The sequence below is a fragment of the Homo sapiens genome, chromosome 3 (genome assembly GCF_000001405.40).
Source record: "Homo sapiens chromosome 3, GRCh38.p14 Primary Assembly".
Lineage (NCBI taxonomy): Eukaryota > Metazoa > Chordata > Mammalia > Primates > Hominidae > Homo > Homo sapiens.
In genome coordinates, this window is record NC_000003.12 from 116,359,503 (window position 1) to 116,383,181 (window position 23,679).

The 23,679-nt window shown below is 36.8% G+C and overlaps 1 protein-coding gene and 1 long non-coding RNA gene across 5 annotated transcripts in view, besides 1 other annotated feature; one reads left to right on the forward strand and one right to left on the reverse strand.

Moving 5' to 3' along the window:
* Nucleotides 1-23,679, reverse strand: part of LSAMP (limbic system associated membrane protein) — a 643,114-nt gene that overhangs the window by 557,129 nt on the left and 62,306 nt on the right. The gene's annotated exons all lie outside the window — the stretch shown is intronic.
* On the forward strand, nt 522-10,583 carry LSAMP-AS1 (LSAMP antisense RNA 1). Its single transcript, NR_109998.1, has 4 exons — nt 522-591; nt 8,440-8,533; nt 8,641-8,769; nt 10,329-10,583. It is a non-coding gene; the product is annotated as an LSAMP antisense RNA 1 (long non-coding RNA).
* Nucleotides 824-1,414: an enhancer, noted in NCBI's record as "OCT4-NANOG-H3K27ac-H3K4me1 hESC enhancer chr3:116079173-116079763 (GRCh37/hg19 assembly coordinates)". NCBI's record gives its function as "activates a minimal SCP1, AML or CMV promoter by ChIP-STARR-seq in primed H9 embryonic stem cells {active_cell/tissue: H9 hESC(primed)}" and the evidence as "EXISTENCE:reporter gene assay evidence [ECO:0000049][PMID:30033119]".

Consider the following 23,679-nt stretch of genomic DNA (forward strand, 5'->3'; position numbering starts at 1 on the left):
TAGCTTTTTAGGAAACTTGACTCATATTACCCTGGACAACAACCTGCAGTTTAATTGGAGTAAACTTTTTATTTTTATTTTATTTTTAAGTTCAGGGGTACATGTGCAGGTTGTACAGGTTTGTTACATAGGTAAGCATGTGCCATGGTGGTAAACATATGTCATGGTGGTTTGCTACACAGATCTTTGACAAACCTGTCAAAACTAAGCAATGGAGAAAGGAGTCTGTATTTAATAAATGGTGCTAATAGAACTGCACCATTTTCTAGCCATATGCAGAAAATTGAAACTGGGCCCCTTCCTTATACCATATTCAAAAATAACTCAAGATGGATTAAAGACTAAAATGTGAAACTCAAAACTATAAAAATCCTATAAGAAAATCTAGGCAATACCAGTCAAGACATAGGCACAGGCAAATGTTTCGTGATGAAGATGCCAAAAGCAATTGCAACAAAAGCAAAAATTGACAAATGGGATCTAATTAAAGAACTTCTGGAGGAGCCAAGATGGCCGAATAGGAACAGCTCCGGTCTACAGCTCCCAGCGTGAGCGACGCAGAAGACGGTGATTTCTGCATTTCCATCTGAGGTACTGGGTTCATCTCACTAGGGAGTGCCAGACAGTGGGCGCAGGCCAGTGTGTGTGCGCACCGTGCGCGAGCCGAAGCAGGGCGAGGCATTGCCTCAACTGGGAAGCGCAAGGGGTCAGGGAGTTCCCTTTCCGAGTCAAAGAAAGGGGTGACGGACGCACCTGGAAAATCGGGTCACTCCCACCCGAATATTGCGCTTTTCAGACCGGATTAAGAAACGGCGCACCACGAGACTATATCCCACACCTGGCTCGGAGGGTCCTACGCCCACGGAATCTCGCTGATTGCTAGCACAGCAGTCTGAGATCAAACTGCAAGGCGGCAACGAGGCTGGGGGAGGGGCGCCCGCCATTGCCCAGGCTTGCTTAGGTAAACAAAGCAGCCGGGAAGCTCGAACTGGGTGGAGCCCACCACAGCTCAAGGAGGCCTGCCTGCCTCTGTAGGCTCCACCTCTGGGGGCAGGGCACAGACAAACAAAAAGACAGCAGTAACCTCTGCAGACTTAAGTGTCCCTGTCTGACAGCTTTGAAGAGAGCAGTGGTTCTCCCAGCACGCAGCTGGAGATCTGAGAACGGGCAGACTGCCTCCTCAAGTGGGTCCCTGACTCCTGACCCCCGAGCAGCCTAACTGGGAGGCACCCCCCAGCAGGGGCACACTGACACCTCACACGGCAGGGTATTCCAACAGACCTGCAGCTGAGGGTCCTGTCTGTTAGAAGGAAAACTAACAACCAGAAAGGACATCTACACCGAAAACCCATCTGTACATCACCATCATCAAAGACCAAAAGTAGATAAAACCACAAAGATGGGGAAAAAACAGAACAGAAAAACTGGAAACTCTAAAACGCAGAGCGCCTCTCCTCCTCCAAAGGAACGCAGTTCCTCACCAGCAACAGAACAAAGCTGGATGGAGAATGATTTTGACGAGCTGAGAGAAGAAGGCTTCAGACGATCAAATTACTCTGAGCTACGGGAGGACATTCAAACCAAAGGCAAAGAAGTTGAAAACTTTGAAAAAAATTTAGAAGAATGTATAACTAGAATAACCAATACAGAGAAGTGCTTAAAGGAGCTGATGGAGCTGAAAACCAAGGCTCAAGAACTACGTGAAGAATGCAGAAGCCTCAGGAGCCGATGCGATCAACTGGAAGAAAGGGTATCAGCAATGGAAGATGAAATGAATGAAATGAAGCGAGAAGGGAAGTTTAGAGAAAAAAGAATAAAAAGAAATGAGCAAAGCCTCCAAGAAATATGGGACTATGTGAAAAGACCAAATCTACGTCTGATTGGTGTACCTGAAAGTGATGTGGAGAATGGAACCAAGTTGGAAAACACTCTGCAGGATATTATCCAGGAGAACTTCCCCAATCTAGCAAGGCAGGCCAACGTTCAGATTCAGGAAATACAGAGAACGCCACAAAGATACTCCTCGAGAAGAGCAACTCCAAGACACATAATTGTCAGATTCACCAAAGTTGAAATGAAGGAAAAAATGTTAAGGGCAGCCAGAGAGAAAGGTCGGGTTACCCTCAAAGGAAAGCCCATCAGACTAACAGCGGATCTCTTGGCAGAAACCCTACAAGCCAGAAGAGAGTGGGGGCCAATATTCAACATTCTTAAAGAAAAGAATTTTCAACCCAGAATTTCATATCCAGCCAAACTAAGCTTCATAAGTGAAGGAGAAATAAAATACTTTATAGACAAGCAAATGTTGAGAGATTTTGTCACCACCAGGCCTGCCCTAAAAGAGCTCCTGAAGGAAGCGCTAAACATGGAAAGGAACAACCGGTACCAGCCGCTGCAAAATCATGCCAAAATGTAAAGACCATCGAGACTAGGAAGAAACTGCATCAACTAATGAGCAAAATCACCAGCTAACATCATAATGACAGGATCAAATTCACACATAACAATATTAACTTTAAATATAAATGGACTAAATTCTGCAATTAAAAGACACAGACTGGCAAGTTGGATAAAGAGTCAAGACCCATCAGTGTGCTGTATTCAGGAAACCCATCTCACGTGCAGAGACACACATAGGCTCAAAATAAAAGGATGGAGGAAGATCTACCAAGCCAATGGAAAACAAAAAAAGGCAGGGGTTGCAATCCTAGTCTCTGATAAAACAGACTTTAAACCAACAAAGATCAAAAGAGACAAAGAAGGCCATTACATAATGGTAAAGGGATCAATTCAACAAGAGGAGCTAACTATCCTAAATATTTATGCACCCAATACAGGAGCACCCAGATTCATAAAGCAAGTCCTGAGTGACCTACAAAGAGACTTAGACTCCCACACATTAATAATGGGAGACTTTAACACCCCACTGTCAACATTAGACAGATCAACGAGACAGAAAGTCAACAAGGATACCCAGGAATTGAACTCAGCTCTGCACCAAGCAGACCTAATAGACATCTACAGAACTCTCCACCCCAAATCAACAGAATATACATTTTTTTCAGCACCACACCACACCTATTCCAAAATTGACCACATAGTTGGAAGTAAAGCTCTCCTCAGCAAATGTAAAAGAACAGAAATTATAACAAACTATCTCTCAGACCACAGTGCAATCAAACTAGAACTCAGGATTAAGAATCTCACTGAAAGCCGCTCAACTACCTGGAAACTGAACAACCTGCTCCTGAATGACTACTGGGTACATAACGAAATGAAGGCAGAAATAAAGATGTTCTTTGAAACCAACGAGAACAAAGACACCACATACCAGAATCTCTGGGACGCATTCAAAGCAGTGTGTAGAGGGAAATTTATAGCACTAAATGCCTACAAGAGAAAGCAGGAAAGATCCAAAATTGACACCCTAACATCACAATTAAAAGAACTAGAAAAGCAAGAGCAAACACATTCAAAAGCTAGCAGAAGGCAAGAAATAACTAAAATCAGAGCAGAACTGAAGGAAATAGAGACACAAAAAACCCTTCAAAAAATCAATGAATCCAGGAGCTGGTTTTTTGAAAGGATCAACAAAATTGATAGACCGCTAGCAAGACTAATAAAGAAAAAAAGAGAGAAGAATCAAATAGACACAATAAAAAATGATAAAGGGGATATCACCACCGATCCCACAGAAATACAAACTACCATCAGAGAATACTACAAACACCTCTACGCAAATAAACTAGAAAATCTAGAAGAAATGGATACATTCCTCGACACATACACTCTCCCAAGACTAAACCAGGAAGAAGTTGAATCTCTGAATAGACCAATAACAGGCTCTGAAATTGTGGCAATAATCAATAGTTTACCAACCAAAAAGAGTCCAGGACCAGATGGATTCACAGCCGAATTCTACCAGAGGTACATGGAGGAACTGGTACCATTCCTTCTGAAACTATTCCAATCAATAGAAAAAGAGGGAATCCTCCCTAACTCATTTTATGAGGCCAGCATCATTCTGATACCAAAGCCGGGCAGAGACACAACCAAAAAAGAGAATTTTAGACCAATATCCTTGATGAACATTGATGCAAAAATCCTCAATAAAATACTGGCAAACCGAATCCAGCAGCACATCAAAAAGCTTATCCACCATGATCAAGTGGGCTTCATCCCTGGGATGCAAGGCTGGTTCAATATACGCAAATCAATAAATGTAATCCAGCATATAAACAGAACCAAAGACAAAAACCACATGATTATCTCAATAGATGCAGAAAAGGCCTTTGAAAAAATTCAACAACCCTTCATGCTAAAAACTCTCAATAAATTAGGTATTGATGGGACGTATTTCAAAATAATAAGAGCTATCTATGACAAACCCACAGCCAATATCATACTGAATGGGCAAAAACTGGAAGCATTCCCTTTGAAAACCGGCACAAGACAGGGATGCCCTCTCTCACCGCTCCTATTCAACATAGTGTTGGAAGTTCTGGCCAGGGCAATCAGGCAGGAGAAGGAAATAAAGGGTATTCAATTAGGAAAAGAGGAAGTCAAATTGTCCCTGTTTGCAGACGACATGATTGTTTATCTAGAAAACCCCATTGTCTCAGCCCAAAATCTCCTTAAGCTGATAAGCAACTTCAGCAAAGTCTCAGGATACAAAATCAGTGTACAAAAATCACAAGCATTCTTATACACCAACAACAGACAAACAGAGAGCCAAATCATGGGTGAACTCCCATTCACAATTGCTTCAAAGAGAATAAAATACCTAGGAATCCAACTTACAAGGGATGTGAAGGACCTCTTCAAGGAGAACTACAAACCACTGCTCAAGGAAATAAAAGAGGAGACAAACAAATGGAAGAACATTCCATGCTCATGGGTAGGAAGAATCAATATCGTGAAAATGGCCATACTGCCCAAGGTAATTTACAGATTCACTGCCATCCCCATCAAGCTACCAATGACTTTCTTCACAGAATTGGAAAAAACTACTTTAAAGTTCATATGGAACCAAAAAAGAGCCCGCATTGCCAAGTCAATCCTAAGCCAAAAGAACAAAGCTGGAGGCATCACACTACCTGACTTCAAACTATACTACAAGGCTACAGTAACCAAAACAGCATGGTACTGGTACCAAAACAGAGATATAGATCAATGGAACAGAACAGAGCCCTCAGAAATAATGCCGCATATCTACAACTATCTGATCTTTGACAAACCTGAGAAAAACAAGCAATGGGGAAAGGATTCCCTATTTAATAAATGGTGCTGGGAAAACTGGCTAGCCATATGTAGAAAGCTGAAACTGGATCCCTTCCTTACACCTTATACAAAAATCAATTCAAGATGGATTAAAGATTTAAACGTTAAACCTAAAACCATAAAAACCCTAGAAGAAAACCTAGGCATTACCATTCAGGACATAGGCGTGGGCAAGGACTTCATGTCCAAAACACCAAAAGCAATGGCAACAAAAGACAAAATTGACAAATGGGATCTAATTAAACTAAAGAGCTTCTGCACAGCAAAAGAAACTACCATCAGAGTGAACAGGCAACCTACAACATGGGAGAAAATTTTCGCAACCTACTCATCTGACAAAGGGCTAATATCCAGAATCTACAATGAACTCAAACAAATTTACAAGAAAAAAACAAACAACCCCATCAAAAAGTGGGCGAAGGACATGAACAGACACTTCTCAAAAGAAGACATTTATGCAGCCAAAAAACACAGAAGAAATGCTCATCATCACTGGCCATCAGAGAAATGCAAATCAAAACCACTATGAGATATCATCTCACACCAGTTAGAATGGCAATCATTAAAAAGTCAGGAAACAACAGGTGCTGGAGAGGATGCGGAGAAATAGGAACACTTTTACACTGTTGGTGGGACTGTAAACTAGTTCAACCATTGTGGAAGTCAGTGTGGTGATTCCTCAGGGATCTAGAACTAGAAATACCATTTGACCCAGCCATCCCATTACTGGGTATATACCCAAATGAGTATAAATCATGCTGCTATAAAGACACATGCACACGTATGTTTATTGCGGCACTATTCACAATAGCAAAGACTTGGAACCAACCCAAATGTCCAACAATGATAGACTGGATTAAGAAAATGTGGCACATATACACCATGGAATACTATGCAGCCATAAAAAATGATGAGTTCATATCCTTTGTAGGGACATGTATGAAATTGGAAACCATCATTCTCAGTAAACTATCGCAAGAACAAAAAACCAAACACCGCATATTCTCACTCATACGTGGGAATTGAACAATGAGATCACATGGACACAGGAAGGGGAATATCACACTCTGGGGACTGTGGTGGGGTCGGGGGAGGGGGGAGGGATAGCATTGGGAGATATACCTAATGCTAGATGACACATTAGTGGGTGCAGCGCACCAGCATGGCACATGTATACATATGTAACTAACCTGCACAATGTGCACATGTACCCTAAAACTTAGAGTATAATAAAAAAAAAAAAAAAAAAAAAAAAAAGAACTTCTGCACAGCAAAAGAAACTATCATCAGAATGAACAAATAACCTACAGAATGAGAGAAAATTTTTGCAGTCTATCCATCTCACAAAAGTCTAATATCCAGAGTCTATAAGGAACTTAAACAAACTTACAAGAAAAAAAAAATCTCATTCAAAAGTGGGCAAATAACATAAACAGACACTTCTCAAAAGAAAACATACATGTGGCCAACAAACATAGGAAGTAACTTTTTGTTTCCCTACCAAACTGAGCAAGGAGAGACTGGATTGCCTACAGCCAATATATGAATCAACATGTGACTTCTGTCAAAAAGCACCTCTTTTTTAAGACTAATCAACTTTTCATGAAAATGAAGGCCAAGATTGATAGGCAATGAGAATCAGTGTATTTTTTCCAAGCATAGGTATAGTCTTTTGACACTGATTACTTTTAATGGCCATCCATTCTCAGTGGTTCTTTGTGCCACTCAGGGTCACTCAGTGTCCTCCCCATAGATATATTTACATGAATGAATAAAAGGTCTCAGTGAGCATGGAGGAAAGCATCTAAGGATTAAAGTAGTCCTGGCATGTGGTCCCCAAGAAGGTATGGAGGAAGTGCCTCAGAAGTAATGCATTTTTATTCATTTATTTAGTAGCTGGTTTGTACTAGGAGCTGGGAATTCACAAATGATTGTTAAACTCTGTGCTCTTAAGGGTCGTCATCCTCTCTGCTTTACTACAATAAAAGTGGTCAGGATTAAGGAATGATGCTATGTACAAAAGAGAAGGGCTATTGATTTGGACATTTAATAATATTTTCTCAGTCTTCCTTATCAATGACACACATTCCCTCCCATCCCACATTATCTTCCTGAGCCACCGCATTGCCTAGACCTTCACAAAATATGGGTGGTAGGGAAGGGTGGATTTATGTGATTTGCCAGACTTTAGGAGTAAGACAGCTGGTATATCTAAAACCTGTAACAATTACTTGTATTATTTCTATGCCTTACCCAAAAACTTCTAATTGGCATGTTAGACTTGACCAAACAGATTAACAAACCATTCCATAACGATCGATCAGATTAATGCTAAGATAATTGGATTGTTTCATTAGAAGGGTCATAGGAATAGAGAGAGACCAATAAGATCCTATGTTTCTTGAATATGAGGCATTACATGAAAGAAATTACACCCAGCAGCATCTTCAAATTAGTATCAGTGTTCTATTGCTGAAACTAAGTCATAAAATATGTATATGCTAAATACCTAGTGAAAGGTAAAAAGAGAAATCAGGAAGCCATCCACTACTAAGGCAGCAGAATATAAATAAATCCCACTTGAATCACAAGTTTCTGTATCCCTTTTATTTCTTTTATAATTTATCAGATGTACCTCTCTCACCACCTGTGTTTCTCTACCTCTAAACAGGTAGAGAATGTTGCTTTCTCTTCTTTACATTTATTTTCTTCCTTTTTTTTTTTTTTTTGTCCTTTTTTGAGACAGAGCTTAGCTCTTGTTGCCCAGGCTGGAGTGCAGTGGTGCAATCTCAGCTCACTGCAACATCTGCCTCTCAGGTTCAAGCGATTCTCCTGCCTCAGGCTCCCGAGTAGCTGGGATTACAGGCATCGTCTGCCACCACACCCAACTAGTTTTTTGTATTTTTAGTAGGCCCGGGGTTTCACCATATTGGCCAGGCTGGTCTCGAACTCCTGACCTCAGGTAATCCACCTGCCTCAGCCTCCCAAAGTGCTGGGATTACAGGCTAGAGCCACCATGCCTGGCCGGTTTTTCTTCCTTTTTTTAAAAAAACAAACAAACGAACAAAAAAAAAACTTTACAAGAAATCCACTGCTTACTAACAGGAGCAATGACACAACTGCTTCTCTTATATTTGCTTCTGCACACATTCCTTTCAGGTGGAATGACTGTGGCTCTGTGCCATCTCGAAATCTACTGGTCTCTAAGCACAAACGAACATTCTCTTAAACTAATGAAATGAGTGGCAGGCAGGTAAGTGGAAGCAAAATTGCTTGTGGTAAATGTGGGTGGGCGGAAAATATTAGCTGCTTGATAGGTTTTTAAAAATGCTGTAATAATATTTTTCATGTAATTAATAGCGTGTGCAGAGCACCAGCAAAGGCTCAGAGGGATGCCCACAGAGTTCCACCGCAACCGTGCACAGAGGAGGAGGAGAATGCTCCCTACAGGTGAAAACTAGGCTAATACACAATGATTGAAGACTAAAGGTAACCTTGCACTCATAACTCCAAAAGACGCATTTGCCACAAGTCAGGCAGGAGTTATGTTTACTCTGCTGTAAGCCCCCAAAACCACTTTTGTTAATATTTATGTAGCTCACCTGTATCTCTGAAGATACATTGTTTTTTTTTAAGTACAGAAAGAGTGAGTGGGAAGTTATTAATATCCATTGCTGACAGTGATTGTCAAAATTCTTAAAAAAGTAAAGGATCAATTGAAAAGAAAATAATGTTAGATTTATGTAGTAAAATATTCACAAAGCTGCATGAAGAGTCTTTGGTTGGAGAAGCCTTGCTCTGAATCTACTTCGTAAGCTTCCTCTTAAAAATGACTGGTTTCAACAAGCTGTTTCAGTCAAATAGGCCAGTTAACCCCCAAATTCAAAGGAAAAAACAATATCTACAATCATGCTGGTCTGTTTGATGGGATTCACCAGCTATAAGTGTAAGATAAAAGAATAATTAGTGACCAAATGTTGTAATAAGATATGTTATAATAGAGATCATATGTCATATAACAAAAAATTCATCTAGGGTTGTTTCTAAGTCTTCCCTTTTTAAACTTTTAGAAAACAAGCAGCATTTTAAAAGATGGAATATAAAATTCATGGCTAAGAAGTTAGAATTTTACTTCACTGGAAAAGAAAGTTTATTTTTGGTAAATAGAAATGAGATTAACAAACATTCTAGAATGGGTATGAGGTAATTTGTATTATTTGAAGTACATAGGTAGATTTTAAGGACAATTCGAGAACAAAGCTTAAGACCTAATGTGTAGAAATTATAGAAGAAATAATTGTATTATGTTTATTGAAGGAAATTCACAGCTTTTCCATAAAGAAGAAAGCAAGAAAAAAAAAAAGAGAAGATTGATCCTGTGATATGAAGGCTTCAGCTAGGGGTTGTAAGGAATACAACAATAAATAAGACAGAGCTTCTGCCTACAAAGACCTTACAACCTACTGGTTGAGGCAGACAGATGCAGCAAACAGTTTTAATAGAAGGCTGAATGTGATACACATTGAGCAGTCAAGAGAAAAAATGTTATTTACAACACGGGCTGCAGTTTGAGCCACAACGATAGAAGTATTCCTTCCAAGGAGAGCATTGCTCTTACCTTCCAGAAAATATTTTTATGTAACTCTTCTGGCTGTGTCTCTTCTTCCCACTCTGGCAGGTCTATCAAAGAGAAGAGAGACCAAGAGATATAAAGTATAGAAATATGGGCTTGCCGTCTAGCCACTCTAGAATGAATAAGTTTAGAGGAGGGCACAGAGATTTAAAGAAAAGGAGGAAGAGGAGGGTCAACGGAGAAACAGGAAGTTACTAAAATTAGAGGTGTTAGTGAAAATAGAATGTTATTGACTGGAATTACGTCTCTCCCAAAAAATCCATACATTAACATCTCAACTCCCTCCCCTCCCAAACCTCCCCCAGCTCAGAATATAAATAACCATACATGGAGCTAAGTTCTTTAATGAAGTAATTAAGTTAAATGAGGCCTTTAATGTGGGCCCCTAATCCAACATGACTGCTGTCTTTATAAGGATGAGAAGAGCCACCAGTGGGGCGCATTCACAGAGAAACGGTCACATGATGAGGCAGCAAGAAGGCAAAAATTGCGAGCCAACAAGAGAGGCCTCAGAAGAATCCAACCCTGGTGCCGCCTTCATTTTAAACTTCCAACAACCCCAGAACTGTGGAAAAAAATTCTATTTTTTGTCTGTGGTATTTTGTTATGGCAACCCTAGCAAACTAATACACTGAGCAAACTAATACATTAAACAGAATATTAAAACGAACAAAACATACTGTTATTTTTAGTATGTGCTATAGTCTGTATCTATTTATTATCATTAAGCTTTTAAAAATTCTATGCACACAACAATTTTGTAGTTATAGTGTTTTGGGGAATAAAAGGGAAAAGATGTTTGAGGGAACATAAAACAGAAGACATCAGCTGTAAGGAAGGAGTCTATAAATATGTAATTAAGAATTCAACAAGAACAAGAATTTAGTAAAGCTAAGAGAAGAATGGGAGGATTCTAGAAAGATGATGGAGAAGGAAGCACCAGAAATCTGTCCCTTTACCAGATAACAGTTGTACTGGCAGAATCTGTCTGCTTAATTATTTTGGAACTCTAGAGTGTACTGAAGGCTTAGAAATTTCCGGGAAAGGCTTGAAGAGTAAATGGTGACTAATTTTGTCCAATCTCATCAATTAGCAGAGTAGTAGCTACCATTCACCCAACCCCCAGTGTCTTGGCAGGCAGTTGTACACATATTACCTAAGCAGCATGCACACATTTTGTGGGGAGTTGAGGGGAGGGTAAAAATGACCCTGCCATCCAAAATATCAGGGGTCTATGCACTGATCACTGACTGCTGCTTGCAGTCACAGAAGTGCAGACAAAGAGGTGCCATCCGTGGTTGTTGCATGTCCCCTCACGGGTGCAAGCTGAAATAGAGAACAGAAATATAACAGGGAAAATCAACAAAACCAGAAGTTGGTTCTTCAATAAGATCAACAACATTGACAAACTTTAGCTATAGATGGACTAAGAAAAAACAGAGAAAACTAAAATTACCGAAATCTGAAATAGAAGTGAGGACATCGCTACTGATTCAACATAAATAAAAAAGATTATAAGAGAGTACTGAGAAAATTGTATACCAGCAAATTGGATATTTCTAGAACCACAAAACCTACCAAAACTATGCCATAAATAAATAGAAAATCTGAATATATCTACAAGCAGTAAAGAGATTGGATCATAAATCAAAAATCTCTTGAAAACAACAGCCCAGTAACTGATGGCTTCACTGGTGAATGCTACCAAACATTTAAAGAACACTAATCCTTCTCAAACTTTTCCAAATATTTGAAGAGGAGGGAACATTCCCCTTACTTATTCATGAAGCTAGCATTACCCTGATATCAAAGCAGAAAAAGACACTGCAAGAAAAAAACTACAGACCGATATCCCTTATGAACATTGATGCAAATATCCTTAACAAAATACTGTAAAACTAAATTCAGCAGCATATGAAAGGATTATACACAATTACCAAATAGAATTTATTCCTGGAATAAAGGATGGTTTGAAACAAAAATTGATCAATGTAATATACACATTAACAAAATAAAGAGGAAAAAAAACACATTATCATCCCAATTTTTGCATTTGTCAGAATTCAACATCCTTTTACAACAAAAACAATCAACATACTAGTAACAGAAGAAAACTACCCCAACGTAAGAAAAGCCATATATGAAAAACCCATGGTGAACATCATAATCAATGGTGAAAGACTGAAAACTTTTCCTCTCAGATCAAGAACAAGGCAAGGGTGTGTGCTTTCATCACTTCTATTCAACATAATACTAAGCTCATCCACAGCAATTAGGCAAGAGAAAGAAATTAAGAGGAGTATCCAAATTGAAATGGAAAAAGTACATTTATCTCTCTTTGGAGATATATGATCTTCTCTATAGACTACTACAAAGATCACACACACACACCTGTTAGAACTAATAAATAATTTCAGCAAAGTAGTACACAAAATCAACGCACAAAATCAGTTACATTTCTATACACTAAAAATGAACAATCTGAAAAGAAATGTTTGGAAATAATTCAATTTATGAAAGCATCAAAAACAACAAAATACTTAGGAATAAACTTAATAATAAGAAAGATGTACAATAAAAACTATAAAACATTGCTGAAAGAAATTAAAGAAGTTATAAGTAAATGGAAAGACATCTCATGTTTACAGATTGAAAGACAACACTATTAAGATATCAATACTACCCAAAGTGAACTACTAGCTCGATACAATCCCAATCAAAATCCCAATGACATTTTTTGCAGGACTTCAAAACTTACTACATAGCTATAGTAATCAAAACAGTGCAGTAATAGCATAAAGACATATATAGGCCAATGGAATAAAATACAGAGCCCCAAAATAAAGCTTTGCCTGTATGATTAAATAATTTTCGACAAGGGTACCAAGACTATTCAATGGGGGAAAGGACAGTATTAACAAATGGTGCTGGGAAAACTGGATGTTGAAATTCAAATGAGCGAAGTTGGACCCTTACCTAACACCATATACAAAAATTAACTGAAAGTGAATAAGGGACCTAAATGTGAGATGTGAAACTGTAAAACTCTTAGAGAAAGACAGGGCAAATCACAACATTTGATGGCAATGATTTCTTGGATATGACACCAAAGGCACAGACAACAAAATAATAGACAAAAAAGGCAAGTTGAACTTTATAAAAGTTTTTACAAATGGCTCTGAAAGACACTATCAACAGAGTAAAAAGGCAATACACAGAATGTTAGAAAATATTTGCAAATACTATCATAAAAAGAATATTCAGAATATTAATTGAATATTGCCCTTATTAAAAAAAAATGGGCAAAAGACTTGAATAGACATTTATCTAAAGAAGACACAGAAATTACTAATAAGCACAGGAAAAGATGCTCAACATCACTAATCATTAGGGAAAAGCAAATCAAAACTACAGTAGATGCCATCTCACACTCCTTATATAGCTGCTATTAAAAAAAAAAAAACAGAATATAACATGTGTTGGTGAAGAAGCAAATAAATTAAAACAATTTTGCACCGGTGGTAGGAATGTAAAATGGTACAGATGTTGTGGAATACCAACACCTGTACCATTTTACATTCTTACCACCAGTTTGGTAATTCCTCAAAAAATTGAAAATACACTTACCATATCATCCAGCAATTTCACTTCTAAGTATATTCAAAAAAATTGAAAGCATAATCTAAAAATATATTTGTATACCCACGTTAATAGCATTATTCACAACAGCTAAAACATGGAAGCAACCTAACTGCCCAGTGACAGATAAATAGATAAGCAAAACGTGTTTTTTATATATATGTATATATATATATATGCACACACACACATACACAATGAAATATGATTCAAACTTAAAAACAATATTTCTGACATATGGTACAACATGGATGAAACTTGAAGGCATTATGCTAAGTGAAATAAGCCATTATTCCACTTATATGAGGTATATAGAGTACTCATACTCATAAGGACGGAAAGTAGGATGGTGGCTTCTAGGAACTGGAAAGAAGAAGGAATGGGGAGTTATTTTCGAATGGGTATAGGGCTTAGTTTTAGAAGATGAAAGAATTATGGAGATGATAGTAGTGATGGTTGCACAGCAATATAAATGCACTAAATGCCAGCAAACTGTACATTTAAATATGCCTAAGACAGTAAATTTTGTTATATGCATATTATCATAATTTTTTAAAAATTGGAAAAAAGTTATGAGAAGTACCTAATTTCCCCAACTCTGCCCAGACCTACCAAAATGATGCCCTTGATATGTTTTGGAAATTTTGAAGAAGACTCTGAATGTCTTTGAATATATGGAATTGGAACTGAATAATTTTATTTGTATATTTAAGAAAAAAGGGATTCCAGTAGTGTGAGCAAATGGAAGGATCTGGATTCCCACACACCCCAAAGCAATAGTCTATAATCAATATTGAGGTTCATGGAGCTGTTGACTTTAGAGTTAGTTTCTCACATATCAAGGCAATGGAGAACATACTAGCTGAGTCAGCCAACATGATCAAAGACAGTATCTGCAAACCTCTTAAGAATCCCAGAGTCCATTACATAAAGCAAGTGAGAACATTCACATTTTATTATAATGACCTCTTCAGGGTCCTCCATGTAATGTACAGTTCAATGTTCCATCACTAATATCTTATATAAAAGAAAACGCCATCTATATGGTGCTCAAATTATGTGGTGAAAAAGGTCAGCAGTCAAGAGATTGAACTGTGGAATTCATTAACAATCACTTTTTAGAAAACATGATTAATACCTTGCAAGACACTGAAAATTTCTTTATTCTGCTGAGGATAGCAGTGATTCCATAGGCATTTTCAATAAAATCACATTCAGTTGTAATACAAGAAGAAGGTGTTCTTATATTGCATTCAAGAGACTTACTTTTTGCATGGAGACATTTGATTTTCATGAAACACTTTGAGAAAATTGGTAGGCATTTCCCATTCCATAAGAACGATGCCATTTGAAACTTAGTACCTCTCTCCTATGAGTTTTAATAAGCTTAATAAGTATTATGACAACATTAACTGCATTTTACTAATAATGAATTGAGATACTAAAAGATTGTGGCTGACTCCATGACACCAAGAATGTCAATCATATAGAGATGAAATCCAAAACCTGGTTAATCTGCACTTTACCTACTGGATTTCTGGTTGTGTTTTATTATCTCTGAATTGTACAGAATTTCAATTACGAAACAAAAAATACAATAGTGAATAATCAGTAAATCTTGTCAGCACTCACTTCTTATTTTTCAAAGCCACTATAACTGTCACTATTTCATTTATTGATGTATTTTTGGTGCCATCCAATCTCTACAATCATCCTACACATTTCTCTACAGGCTATGCAACTGACCCTAGACTCAAGAACTGAAAGATCACAAACTGAGCTCTCCTAGGACCCCAGAACATGAATTGCTACCAACAGAGATTCTGAGAATGAGGAAATGGTGATAAATATATTCCCTAGGTAAATAAACAATGGTTCAGTCAAGACTTAAGATGTCTTTCTTCCAGGCTGCATAGCTCCTTTAATCTTTCTCCTGCCTTGGGCCCAGGCACAAAAAAGAGTTGATTCCCTTTAATAAATAAGTCATCTACTTCACAGAGTTCATATCATGAGGAACGAATCAGAAAACATATGTGAAAATTGCTTTGAAGTCATGTTATGATTTTCAAATGCATGCTATTTTGTGTTCTTTGTCTATCATCACTATTATAATCATTATTATATGCTGACTAAGAGAAGAAAAGGTGGCTATTTCAACCACTGTTGGAAGAAAAGGACTGTAAACAGGGTTTCACGCTGAACATTTTTGGCTGCTGTTTGTTGCTGGGAAAGTATTGGAAAAAGAAAACAAACTGTTAATATTAAAAAACAGGCAAACTATTTTTTAAATTTTTTAAGTATATGCATCCATGAAATTTAGAAAATGTATTACTAGTCATATTCGATTAGAGAAAAAGGAATTTAGGAAGTTTTTTAAATTAGTAAAAAATAAAAATAATAAAAAATGAAACCCATAGCCTATCACCTAATGCTAAACACCACTAACATTTAATATTTTTTCCCACAGGATTTTTTTTATATGCTTGAGTTTGGTTTTATGCTACAAATGTCATAGTATACATAAAATATTGCATCCTTCCTTTTTACTCATTTTTTAACAAAAGTATTTTTGTTGTTTATAGTAACTACAGTGCTCAATGATAGATTTTATTTGTAATATCTATAAGATATTGTATTAACATTTACAGTTGAGGATCATAAAAATCATCCTGAAATTAAATGTTGAAAAGAAACTGAACATAATTGATAAAACTTACTTTGAATAATTCTGGATTTTTATTTTCATCATTCGACTCTCTTTAGTGTTTTTAAGATTAAAATCCATACATACTTTCCATGCATTGAAGTTTCATTTTGTATAAAAACACTTCAAAATGTAGACTTTTATGTAAACTGTACATCATTTATGACAATTTTCTTTGTAGGATTATAACTGTTGTGCATAATTTTACTCTGTATATAATTAACTTCTAATAATTTTTATTTGACTTCATCAATGCACTGCTTGCTAATATTCAGAGGCCTGCTCTGTAGTACAGCAGCATGAACTTTTCAGAACTTCAAGATAATTATTCAGAATAATGTCTGCCAACAAATGTTTGGAACACAATCTGTAAGTTGGAGAGGTGCTGCAGTTAGATATTTTGAGTCTTATCAATTCCTTATAAGGAATGCTCTTTGAATTCTGATAAATGCAATAAGGTGAAACAGCTACTGGGTCCATTAATTTTAAACAAGGATGATGAGATAATCTTGCATCTATTTATCTATTTCTCAAATACAAAAACTTTGTGTCTCTTATTTTGGATAAAAAATGTGATGGAAAAGGGATTCCTTCTTATTACAATAACAAAATATTTTACTTTCACAGGCCATACCAATGCTTGACTTCTTTCAAAAGCAGACAAAAACCAACAACAAAACCTCTTATATCAGGAGATTGCAGTGGGATTCAGGTTTATCCTTGAAACCCCACAAACACTTCAAGAAAGCCACAGTTTAATTCTTGCTATTGATGGTTCTTTGGGTTCATCCAAAGGAATAATATTTTTGTACTATTAATCTGTCTGTAAGCATTTTTTTCTTAGTGCAGTTTTTACATTTAACTAACAAGAGTAGTATTTTTTATTTATGTAACTGGATCTCTCCAGATTAGGTATTTTTTACTGATGCCAGAAGAGAACTTAAAAGAAGCTGAAGAAAGAAAACACATTTCAAAGACACCCCAGTGGGGATCAATTAGCACCTATAAATGTTTATATAATTCATCACTTACTGCCAAACTAATCTTTTTAAAACAGTTTTTTGTCAAATCAGAATCTTGTTCAATAACTTCTCCACAGATATTAAATAAATCCCAACTCGTAACTCTGTATTTTAAGACAGCCATCAACAAAATTTGTCTTATCTATTTGTACTACTACTAAGACAATTTCAATTAGTTTTTATTGAAATAAAAATACCCTCTCTTTTATTTCCCTCTTTATTCCCTCTTTTCTTCAGTCTACCAGTTCAAATACCATTTTATTTACCACATACACCTCACTATTTTTTTATTCTAATTTTTATTTTAAGTTCTGGGGTACATGTGCAGGATGTGCAGGTTTGTTACAAAGGTAAATGCGTGCCATGGTGGTTTGCTGCACCTATCAACCCATTACCTAGGTATCAAGCCCAGCATGCATTTGCTCTTTTTCCTAATGCTCTCCCTTCCCCAACCCCACCCTTCAACAGGCCCAAGTGTATGTTGTTCCCCTCCCTGTGTCCATGTGTTCTCATTGTTCAGCTCCCACTTATAAGTGAGAACATGTGGTGTTTGGTTTTCTGTTCTTGCGTTAGTTTGCTGAGGTTAATTGGCTTCCAGCTCCATACATGACCCTGCAAAGGACATAATCTCATTCCTTTTTATGGCAGCTTAGTATTCCATAATGTATATGTACCACATTTTCTTTATCCATTCCATCATTGATGGGCATTTGGGTTGATTCCATGTCTTTGCTATTTTGAATAGTGCTGCAATAAACATACACATGCATGTGTCTCTGTAATAGAACGATTTATGTTCCTTTGGATAGATACCTAGTAATTGGATTGCTGGGTTAAATGGTATTTGTTGTTCTAGATCTTTGCAAACTCAGTATTTATTGGTCAATGGCATACAATTTCTTCTAAGTCATGGCCGATTCACTGATTTTGTTTTCATGCTCTTCATGACTTCTAATAATATTGAAATCCCATGGAGCCCTTTATATATGTATATGTGTGTCAATAATACACAAACACACACACAATACTGGGAATTAGATAAGAAAAACATCATTGTTTCTTTTAACCAATTAGAAGACAGAAATACATACAGTTGGCCTGAAAATAACCAGTTAATTGGGAGCCAGAATTAGAGCCAGGATCTCAGTTTAGCATACTCCTCTGATAATACTTTGCCCCAGGCATCAGCATGGCTCTTCCACCTCAGTTTCTAGAAAGCAGAGCCATAGTCTGGCCTCAGTGCTTCAGGGAGCACCTAAACTTTAGAGTGACTTCCTCAAATTTTCTGTCTCCTTCTAGGGCTTAAACCTTGACAGAACTGTTTCTCTCCTTCACATTTTTCTCCAAACCTCTACTTTGTGTGGTTTTGACCACATGTTCACAAGAGCACCAAGGCTCATGACAATGGAAACAACCTAGGGTCCTGTGGCCATGCTCAGTTCCAGGTGAATGGTCAAGCTAATGGATTGTTCCTGGAAGCTGTTGTGGTATTTTTTTCAAGGGATCATCTCAGTCTGGTTTACCAGACTCTTGCTGGCACACTAATTTTAGGTGATTTTGCAACCCATATGGACAAAGCCTCCTGCAAAAAATAATTTCCCAGAGCCTACTCGCCTGAGGGGCAGTCTTTCTTTTGTAGGTATGAAGAGCAATGAGTAAAAACATCTCTCTCTCAAAGAGTTTAGGTTCCAGTGTAGAGAATCATTTAATATTATACATTTGTAGTACATTTTAGAAGTCATAAAGAGCTACACTGTATAGCAGTTTATTTGATCTTTACAAGAAATTAATTATTTCAACAAGTATTATTGATGGTCTTCTATGTCTTGGCACTGAAAATGCTGAGCATTTATAGATTTATGAAATAGATACTATTCCTGATGACATAAGACATACAGTGGTGAAGATACAAAGTTAAACTAATTACATAAATAGTTATTGCTTACAATTTTGAAAACTGAAGTAAGGTTGACATAAGAAACCTCTTACTCCACCTTCCTCCCAATTAGTGGACAACCTCACCTAGTCTATAAGGTAGATATGTCTATAAGATACATAAGATCAATTTCATTTTACAGCTGATTTAATTGAACTTCACAAAGTTAAATTGACCTTGGTCAAGGTCACACAGTGAGTAAAGGGCAGAAGTAATGCATGTCCCAGGATTTATGCTTGATCTGTTCTTTTTCCTATTGGTAATTGCTCAGAACACACACACACACACACACACACACACACACACACACACACACACGAGTCCTACCATGACAAATTGATTCTTGAGAACAGCATTTGTGAGTCTACGGGCATTCTGAATGCTGTTGTCTTTCAAGGTAAATGTTAAAGAAATAACAGTCACTATTAGTGAATAATTTAATTGTATTATTGACTATACATTGTATTGCTATGGTAATTGTAAATTAAAAAGATGATTATTTTTAATTAACCTAACAAAGATATAGTCGCATATGTTTTCAGTGTCATGCTGAGAATTAAAACAGACCACTGGGATAAAAAGTGATGGGGTAGCCAGAGCAGTTTCTCTGAGTAGGTGAGAAGGACAAGAAGAATCACGACTCTTAGAGATCCAGACATGGACATTTCAACAAGAGTACAGTTAGTTTGAGACATGGAGAGTAGAGTATATATTATTGGACATAAGGAAAGAGCCAGATCATGTGTGGTTTTTGATAGGCTGGGGCAGAAATGTCAATTTTAACAGCAATGGGAAGACTTTGAAGAGTTCTAAGCAGGGAAGTGACATGATCTGACCTATATTTCTGGAAGATTGCTCAGATCAAAATCTGTCGGGATCAAGTGGGCAGTTGGAATAGAAATAACAGCTGGGCCAACTGTAAATAGTATTTAAGAATCCTTTATAGGAAGTCAGAGGGTACAGAAGAAAAAAATATATATATTTATAGGACCAGAGGTGAAAACCATAAGAATCAGCATAATCAAAAAGATCTGTGGTAAGCAAGAGAGTGGAAATTAGAAGAAATATTTGAACAAGCAAGAGAAATAGTCAGACATGGATGACCTGATAAAAGACGCTTACTTACAGGCAAATGTAGGATTGAAAGATGGAAACTTAGTCATTGTCATAAACCCTTCATTTCACTCAGATCGCTTCTGTGTTTGGAATCTCTGATTTGGCAAACTATCTATAATCATGGGCTTTCCTATGTTTAAAATTCTATACCCTCAGACTCTTTCTAGAACACTACCATATACTGTGTAATAACATGATTTTGCTGAGAACAAGGACTTTAGATGCAGGCAGACCATGGTTTAAAATTCCATGCTACCCATTCAGGCCATATGAATGAGCTACTGACAACCTCACTGATTCATGGTTTTCCCATTGGTAAAAAAGGATTATCAATAGCATGTACCTCTTGGGTTGCTATAGGCGGCAAAAATTATAATCCATAGAAAGGGCTGAACATAGTATTTGGAGCGTATAGAGATACTGTGAGCTGTTTTTAATATTACTATTAGTTATATGTCAAAATAGAATTATAGAAATCTACTTTTAATGTTTCTCACATTAGCTGGCATATAATTGATTTATTGCTCATTAAAAGGTAGTATCTATTTAAGATCAGTGATATATAATTATGTCCTATATTTCCTTTATCTGTGTGCCTTTCTTTATCTTTATTTTTGTTGTTAATTTGATAAATAGAAGTTCCATAATCTCTACCCATTGTTGCCTGCCCACTTCACACTCCCTACCCCACTCCCCTGCCACTGGTACTTTCCTGAGGCAACCAATTTAACAGCCTCAGTATATGTTTTTCCTCATTATTTCTCCATTTTGTACAAACTACACAAATATACTGTGGAGTTTGTACTTACAAAGTGGGGCTCACACTATATAAAGAGCTCTATAACTTAATGCATTCTGGACATTCTTCCATATGAATAGATTACAATCTGATTCTTATCAATGACTGCAAAATATTTCATAATATGAATATATTACAGTATCTTCAAGCATTCTTCTATTGATGGGTATTTCTATTGGGTATAGCTTTGGTTTTTTTGTTTGTTTGCCTTGGTTTGGTTTACACTGTTACAAGTATTGCTATACTAAACACAGCATGAACTTATATACTTATGACTGATAGAATTAATTCATCAAAATTAGAAGCTAAATCAAAGGCTGCTGCTTCCTATGTTATATTCCTTACAGGTATATAATATATGCACATTAAAATGAATTCTGACAAAATGTATTTAGGTTTTCAGTCTTCATTGTCACTCATATGGAAAGAGGTATTTATTTTAAAAGAGATATTTACCCCCTCTTTTTGTTTGTTACTCCATTTTGGTTTTATCAGATCCAAATGAGAGAAAAATTTAATCTAGATCTAATAAATTGATGCTTGTTTTATAGAAAATATTTCCCTTTGTCTCTTCTGACTAAAAATTCTTTATTGCAAATATACAAGTTCAATGGATCATTAGACTGTCCAATGAAAAAGTTATTAACTACTTGAAATCTGGAACTATGTATTTGTGCATATACACGTATGTATTTGTGTGTATTATAATGTACATGAAAGATCATGTGGACTGGTTATTTCTTGACAAACTTTCCTCATTGAGGGTTGTATATGGAATGATGGGAATACAAATTATTTGCCAAAAATGAGTAAAACACCAGTATTATAAAGAGCATTCTCTATTACGTCCCACAGTAAAATATTTTTTTCCAGGGGAGTTATCAGTAATGCTATCTTAAAATGACAAGAGAAAAATGATTCACTCAACAAACCTTCAATTTTAGAATTACTTTTCAGAAACCTATCAGTTTTATAAGCTGGATACAACCTAGACAACAACATATATCTTGAGCCCTGATGAACTTTTGATAGAATTTAGAAATCTGCTACTTAGGGTTATGTTGCTTATTAGAGAGTGCATTCCTTCCACAAAATGAATCTTACTTTCATAAAGTTGACTACCGCAGAGACCACCTTTTAGATGTGGACTTTACTTATCTGGATATGTTAACATCCCCTCTTAGGAGCATCGGCATGTGAACATCAGTGTTCCAGTTGGCCTAAGTGTCTTAGGATCATACAATATGGACTTGATTCTAAGGGAGAGGTTGGAAAACTATGTTTTGGAGGCCAAATTTGACCATGGCTTGTTTTTGTACAGCGTTTGAGACAAAAAAATAGTTTTTATATTTGAAAAGGGTTGCAAAACATAAAAAGAACATATAGCTAAGAGAGGATGTGGAGAAACAGGAATACTTTTACACTTTTGGTTCAATAGTTCAACCATTGTGGAAGTCAGTGTGGCAAATTCCTCAAGGATCTAGAACTAGAAATACCATTTGACCCAGCCATCCCATTACTGGGTATATACCCAAAGGATTATAAATCATGCTGCTATAAAGACACATGCACACGTATGTTTTTGTGGAACTATTCACAATAGCAAATACTTGGAGCCAACCCAAATGTCCATCAATGGTAGACTGGATTAAGAAAATGTGGCACATATACACCATGGAATACTATGCAGCCATAAAAAAGGATGAGTTCATGTCCTTTGTAAGGACATGGATGAAGCTGGAAACCATCATTCTCAGCAAACTATCGCAAGGACAAAAAACCAAACACCTCATATTCTCACTCATAGGTGGGAATTGAACAATGAGAACACTTGGACACAGGAAGGGGAACATCACACACCGGGGCCTGTCATGGGGTCGGGGGAGGGGGGAGGGATAGCATTAGGAGATATACCTAATGTAAATGACAAGTTAATGGGTGCAGCACACCAACATGGCACATGCATACATATGTAACAAACCTGCACTTGTGCACATGTACCCTAGAACTTAAAGTATAATAAAAAAATAAAATAAAATATTTACTATCTGGTCTTTAATAGGAGAAGTTTGCTGACCTCTGATCTAAGGTCATGTTTACATATTTTTAAAAAATCTTTTAAAGTCCCCGAGTTTGTTACATGTTACAGCTTTTGTCTATTATGGGAGTAAAAGTTGCCTCCTTTCCTTATTTGACTTCAAGGTGAAAAAGGGCAAAGTGCCTTACGATGTTGGGTTGCATTTACTGAAAATATCTTCTGTAAACACACACAGAAGAACAGCCTTAAGATAAAGAATGCTTTCAAAAAGGAAATGTGTAAGGCAAAATTGTTCTGTCCATAAATGTTAATTTCCCTTTGCCTACTTTAGCTATTATCTGCCCAGCTATCCAGCTATCTCACTAGGATGTTGTAAACTGAGATAAAAAGGGATCTGAGCCCTTCACTACGTGCTATATTGATCCAAAGCATTGCTATGGTAATTTATTATTGAAGAGATTATAAATGAGAAACTCTTCTGCAAGAAAAACTACTCTAGGAGAAAGTTTGGA